This window comes from Homo sapiens, chromosome 11, assembly GCF_000001405.40.
Source record: "Homo sapiens chromosome 11, GRCh38.p14 Primary Assembly".
NCBI lineage: Eukaryota > Metazoa > Chordata > Mammalia > Primates > Hominidae > Homo > Homo sapiens.
This window is the reverse complement of record NC_000011.10, coordinates 27,886,832-27,894,408: the sequence shown is the minus strand read 5'-3', so window position 1 is coordinate 27,894,408 and position 7,577 is coordinate 27,886,832. Positions and strand designations below refer to the sequence as shown.

The 7,577-nt window shown below is 39.3% G+C and overlaps 1 pseudogene; it reads left to right on the top strand.

The window, feature by feature from the left end:
• HSP90AA2P (heat shock protein 90 alpha family class A member 2, pseudogene) lies at window positions 3,317-6,238 on the top strand (annotated as a pseudogene).

Genomic DNA, 7,577 nt, shown 5'->3' with positions numbered 1-7,577 from the left:
TGTGGCCAGTGCATCTGTGAATGTTACCCTATGTCTCCTGGCATGGATCTGAAACAGTTTATCTTAGTTATGTACCTAGGAGTTAAATGGCTAGGTCATAGGGCATATTAGTTTCCTATGGCTGCTGTAACGATTAACCACAAACATAGTGGCTTAATGTAACAAAAATTTACTCCTTTATAATCCTGGAGGCCAGCAGTCAGAAATGAATTTTACAGGGGTAAAATCAATGTGTTGGCAGGGCTGGTTCCTTCTGGAGATTCTAGAGGAATATCCATTTCTTTGCATTTTTAGGTGTCTAGAGGCTGCCTGTGTTCGTTAGCTTGTGGTCCCTTCCTTGATCTTCAAAGTGCATCAGTCTAGTCCCTGCTTCCATCATCACATCATAGTCTCCTATTACTCTGACTCCCTTGCATCTCTCTTATAAGGTCAGATGTGATTACATCAAGCCCATCCAGATAGTCCAAGATTATCCCTAATACAGACAAGTCCTTTTTGCCATATAAAGTAACATTCACAGGTTCTGTGGATCAGGATATGTACGCTTTTGGGAGGCCATTATTCAGTTTACCATGTAAGGTATATGAATATTTAAGTCTATTTGAAATTCTGCCATTATGGATCATTTTCTTTGAATTGTTAAGTGCCTAATTTTAAATGACAAGTACCCTGGGAAAGAGAAAAATGATAATCCATTACATATGTAAAATATTTGAAGCATCTCAATGACATCCCTCATGCTCACTGTTTCCTTTACTCCTCACAATTCTCTATGTAGTGAATAGGGCAGGCACCATTAGGTTGAACCATATAAGTTGCTGATATTAGGTTATCTTTGACCTGCAAAAATAGGATTTTCATATTTTCTAACTTAATATTATATTCTCATTTTATAGAGGAGGAAACAGCCCTGAGAGCTTAGGTGACTGTCTTCAGGTCATGCAACTAGTAAACATCAGAGCAAAACTTTAGACCAAGCCTCTTGACTCCCCAAATCAGTGCTTCTTCCACCAGGTCATACGGAAAAAATGGTTGTAGGTGTGACTATTATCACTAGATAAACTTTATGGTAAACTGTGGTAAACTACTGATTAACCAAGATATGGGGAGTAGAGAGGGAAGGAGATCATCATGGAAATCTGAGAAGAATTGAAGAATTATCAATAGTTCTAAGTCAGGCTTAAAGCAATTCCACTGTTAAACTTCTATTATGTGAGATGGGAAGGGCTAGGGGATTAAACATGAGGCAGAATAAGGTGGAGATCTGGATCCTGTTCCTTTTCAACTAGAGCAGCAACTCCAAATTTTCTAAAGCCCTTTGGGGAGATAATCTCATTTCAGGTTCCTATTGCACCTACGCCAGGGTTCATCCACATCTAGACAACCAAATTTTGACTACAAATGCACTGACAAATTGACCTAACATTTGTCAGGGTCTAAAAAAGAAATACAGGTTCTGCTGGTATAGGAAGGCAGGTTAGCCAAGATCATGTAGGGTCAGAGGATGGGAATGTGTAGGGTCAAAAGGACCAGTGTATATGCTGTAGGTGACATAGTATCTGGCAAGTGACAAAGTGGAATTTGGGACAGAATAGGAGGGTGTTGCCTATTGCTGCTGCCTAGGAAGCTCTGCTGAGGGAAGCCCTGGACATCCATCAATATAAGCCAGAACCTATACTCTGCCCAACCTCGGTAGGTCACTTTCTCTCTCTGGTCATCTATTTTCTCATCATTTGCATCAGAGGATTCAATAGCTTGATCTTTTAGCAATCTTCCAGTTTGAATATTCTACGAGTGCTTCTATACATTGCAGAATGGGATCGAAATGACCCAATTCTTCCAAAGGCAAAAGGGGAGCCTTCTTCCTCCCTTTTGTATAGGGTCTCTGACTGCTCTGTGGAAATGTCATTTCCCCTCCTAGGACACACATTATTTGGAGTACAGGGGATGCACAAAGTCAAGTAGAATTTCCCAAAATGGTCCCACAGATCATTAGTCCCAAAAGACTTCCTTCAAAAAACATTTTATATTGTAGCAGAAAATATCCCATTTATAATAGCAACAAAAGATGAAATATCTAGAAATAAATTTAACAAGAAATATATGAGATCTACAAGATAAAAAGTTTAAAACTCTTGAGGGATTCAAAAAAAATTTAAACAAATGGACAAAGTATGTTTTATTGTGGGAAAGGAAGCTAAAACCTCAAAAAGATGTCAATTCTCAGTAGGTAATATATAAGATAAAAAATAATCCCATAAATATATCAACTATATATTTTTTGAAATAGATAAGCTAGTTTTAAAATTCATTTGGAAAAATAAACAAAAATGTGTATCCAGGAAAAGTCAGAAAAAGAATGACAAGAGAATAAGACCTATCAGATGCTAAAGCATACTATAAAGTTTTAATAATTAAAACAGTATGCTACTGATGAATGGAAAATGATCCACATGATAATTAAAAGTTTTAAAATAGACCTAAATATGCATAGGAACTTAATAAATAATTAAATTGGCGGTATCTCAAATCATTGGAAACAAGATGAATTATCTAATAATTGTTGCTAGTATAACAGAGTGATTATCTGGGGGGAAAAAGGATGTATAAACCACACCTTGCCCTAGTATAAATTTCAAAATAACCAACTACTTAAATGTAAAAATGTAGACAGCACTTTGGGAGGCCAAGGCGGGCAGATCACCTGAGGTCAGGAGTTCGAGACAAGCCTGGCCAACATAGTGAAACCCTGTCTCTACTAAAAATACAAAAATTCGCTGGCCATGGTGGCAGGCACCTGTAATCCCAGCTACATCGGAGGCTGAGGTAGGAGAATCGCTTGAACGTGGGAGGCGGAGGTTGCAGTGAGCCTAGATTGTGCCATTGCACTGCAACCTGGAGCACAAGAATGACACTTCGTCTACAAAAAAAAATGTAAACAAAAGTACTAAAAAAATGGTGAGAGAATTATTTTATAACTTCAGATCAGAAAAAGATTACTAGCTATAATTTTTAAAATTTAAAAGCCTAAAACAATTAATTTTGATTACATTTAAAATTCTATATGGCAAAAATACCATAATTAAAGATAAAAGGCAAAGAACAAATTGGGAAAAATATTTTTCAACATATATAACCAAGGGCTAATTTCTCTAACACCTAAAAAGTTCTTATAAATCAATAAAAAGAAAACCAACATCTCAATGGAAAAAGAACAAAGCTCATAAAGAGTTCACAGAAAAAGGATATACAAATGGCTTTAAACATGTGAAAGAATGTTCAACTTCACTCACAATAAGAAAAAATACAAATTATGAGTTGCTTCAGCATCCTGGTGTTGCTGTGCCGTGGGTCCTGTGCGGTCACTTAGCCAAGATGCCTGAGGAAACCCAGACCCAAGACCAACCGATGGAGGAGGAGGAGGTTGAGACATTCGCCTTTCAGGCAGAAATTGCCCAGTTGATGTCATTGATCATCAATACTTTCTACTCGAACAAAGAGATCTTTCTGAGAGAGCTCATTTCAAATTCATCAGATGCATTGGACAAAATCTGGTATGAAAGCTTGACAGATCCCAGTAAATTAGACTCTGGGAAAGAGCTGCATATTAACCTTATACCAAACAAACAAGATCAAACTCTCACTATTGTGGATACTGGAATTGGAATGACCAAGGCTGACTTGATCAATAACCTTGGTACTATCGCCAAGTCTGGGACCAAAGCGTTCATGGAAGCTTTGCAGGCTGGTGCAGATATCTCTATGATTGGCCAGTTCGGTGTTAGTTTTTATTCTGCTTATTTGGTTGCTGAGAAAGTAACTGTGATCACCAAACATAATGATGATGAGCAGTACGCCTGGGAGTCCTCAGCAGGGGGATCATTCACAGTGAGGACAGACACAGGTGAACGTATGGGTCGTGGAACAAAGGTTATCCTACACCTGAAAGAAGACCAAACTGAGTACTTGGAGGAACAAAGAATAAAGGAGATTGTGAAGAAACATTCTCAGCTTATTGGATATCCCATTACTCTTTTTGTGGAGAAGGAATGTGATAAAGAAGTCAGCGACGATGAGACTGAAGAAAAGGAAGACAAAGAAGAAGAAAAAGAAAAAGAAGAGAAAGAGTCCAAAGACAAACCTGAAATTGAAGATGTTGGTTCTGATGAGGAAGAAGAAAAGAAGGATGGTGACAAGAAGAAGAAGAAGACTAAGGAAAAGTACATCGACCAAGAAGAACTCAACAAAACAAAGCCCATCTGGACCAGAAATCCCGACGATATTACTAATGAGGAGTACGGAGAATTCTGCAAGAACTTGACCAATGACTGGGAAGATCACTTGGCAGTGAAGCATTTTTCAGTTGAAGGACAGTTGGAATTCAGAGCCCTTCTATTTGTCCCATGACGTGCTCCTTTTGACCTGTTTGAAAACAGAAAGAAAAAGAACAACATCAAATTGTATGTACGCAGAGATTTCATCATGGATAACTGTGAGGAGCTAATCCCTGAATATCTGAACTTCATTAGAGGGGTGGTAGACTCGGAGGATCTCCCTCTAAACATTTCCCGTGAGATGTTGCAACAAAGTAAAATTTTGAAAGTTATCAGGAAAAATTTGGTCAAAAAATGCTTAGAACTCTTTACAGAACTGGCGGAAGATAAAGAGAACTGCAAGAAATTCTATGAGCAGTTCTCTAAAAACATAAAGCTTGGAATACAAGAAGACTCTCAAAATCGGAAGAAGCTTTCAGAGCTGTTAAGGTACTACACGTCTGCCTCTGGTGATGAGATGGTTTCTCTCAAGGACTACTGCACCAGAATGAAGGAAAAACAGAAACATATCTATTATATCACAGGTGAGACCAAGGACCAGGTAGCTAACTCAGCCTTTGTGGAACGTCTTGGGAAACATGGCTTAGAAGTGATCTATATGATTGAGCCCATTGATGAGTACTGTGTCCAACAGCTGAAGGAATTTGAGGGGAAGACTTTAGTGCCAGTCACCAAAGAAGGCCTGGAACTTCCAGAGGATGAAGAAAAGAAAAAGAAATAGGAAGAGAAAAAACAATGTTTGAGAACCTCTGCAAAACCATGAAAGACATATTGGAGAAAAAAGTTGAAAAGGTGGTTGTGTCAAACCGATTGGTGACGTCTCCATGCTGTATTGTCACAAGCACATATGGCTGGACAGAAAACATGGAGAGAATCATGAAAGCTCAAGCCCTAAGAGACAACTCAACAATGGGTTATATGGCAGCCAAGAAACACCTGGAGATAAATCCTGATGATTCCATTATTGAGACCTTAAGGCAAAAGGCAGAGGCTGATAAGAATGACAAGTCTGTGAAGGATCTGCTCATCTTGCTTTACGAAACTGCACTCCTGTCTTCTGGCTTCAGTCTGGAAGATCCCCAGACACATGCTAACAGGACCTACAGGATGATCAAACTTGGTCTGGGTATTGATGAAGATGATCCTGCTGCTGATGATACCAGTGCTGCTGTAACTGAAGAAATGCCGCCCCTCGAAGGAGATGACGACACATCATGCATGGAAGAAGTAGACTAACCTCTGGCTAAGGGATGACTTAACTGTTCAATACTCTACAATTCCTCCGATAATATATATTCAAGGATGTTTTTCTTTATTTTTGTTAATATTAAAAAGTCTGTACGGCATGACAACAACTACTTTAAGGGGAAGATAAGATTTCTGTCTACTAAGTGATGCTGTGATACCTTAGGCACTAAAGCAGAGCTAGTAATGCTTTTTGAGTTTCACGTCGGTTTATTTTCACAGATTGGGGTAACGTGCGTTGTAAGATGTATGTAACATGATGTTAACTTTGTGGTCTAAAGTGTTTAGCTGTCAAGCCGGATTCCTAAGTAGACCAAATCTTGTTATCGAAGTGTTCCTGAGCTATACCTTGATGTTTAGAAAAGTATTTGTTACATCTTGTAGGATCTACTTTTTGAACTTTTCATCCCCTATAGTTGACAATTCTGCATGTACTAGTCCTCTAGAAATAGGTTAAACTGAAGCAACTTGATGGAAGGATCTCTCCACAGGGCTTGTTTTCCAAAGAAAAGTATTGTTTGGAGGAGCAAAGTTATAAGCCTACCTAAGCATATCATAAAGCTGTTTAAAAATAACTCAGACCCGGTCTTGTGGATGGAAATGTAGTGCTCGAGTCACATTCTTCTTATAGTTGTAACAAATACAGATGAGTTAAAAGAAAAAAAAAGAAAAAATACAAATTATGGCTACACTGAAGAAAACATTGTTCACCTACCATTTTGGCAAAGCTCCAAAAATTTGATATGGGACTCACACACTTCATATATATATACCTTAAAGTGTCTGTATTTTTGCTGTGTTGCCCCATTCTTTTCAAGATGGTAAAGGCATGCACCTTGGAGTCAAACAGACATGAGTTTAAATTCTGATTGTGCTGCTCCCAGCTTGTCATTTTGGGTAAATGATATCATTTCTTTAAGCCTCAGTTTTCCTCATCTGCAGAATGGATAAGACAGTTTTGTGGGTCTGTTTTGGACAGCAAAAATTCTGACAGGAGCTACCACTTTCTGACTACCTGCCAAGTGTTCCACATACATGATTATCTCAATTCATTCTTGAAACCACACATTGGGATGAATATCTTTTCCCAATTTTCACTGATTAGGAAACAGCCCCAGATGGGCTAAGAAATTAGCCCAAGGTAAGTGGCAGAATCAGGATTTTCAAAGTCAGGTTGAATCTAGCCCCAGTGTCTACACCGTTACCACTACGTAGCACTGTCTTTCACAATATCTGATACAATGTCTGAGAGGAGGTGCCTGTGCCGTTCAAGCTTTCTTTTTCCTTCTTTCCTGCAATTCCCTTCCCTTTATCCTCACAGTCTGGCTGAAATTCCACCCCCTTCCAGGTCACACTTGTCCAAAGTAATGTCCTTTGCTCTTCCAACAATGATGATCTACACCACTCATGATCCGTTTTTTGATTCCTCATCTACAGCCCATCTACTGTAGTCAGGTACATCTACTTGAACCTCTACTGTGTATGCCGTTTCTCAAGTATATGCCTCTTTTTTACCCGTCAGCTTGTAGACTTTTCATTTCTGTATTCTCTATCCCTGGGGCTTCTCTGGTGCCTTGCACATTCTGGTCAACTAAATCTGTTTGGCTCCTCCTCATCTTCTGTATTGAACCGTAGGTGGGAGGACTTGGAACCTCTCCAGCTGCCTGGCTCAGGAGTTCTTGGTCCTCCTCCATAGTCTCTGCTTTTTCTGCCTGGAGGCCCACAGTGACAGATCCCCTCACTTGTTCTCTGCCTCACAGGATTCACGGCTCAGACATACCCAGTAATAAATAACAACTTAGATGATTGTGTCTGGTAGCTAATTGACTATGTAACATAGGCTACCAGCCTCTGGGGCAGCACAGCATGCCGCTTGTAATTAATCACCCTCATCCCAGCCTGACTACCCAGCTATGTTGAATCACAGAGCAACTAGGCATTTTCTGAGTGGGTTTCCCACCTAGGTTGAGAAGGTGGAAAACATCCTATTAATGTAGC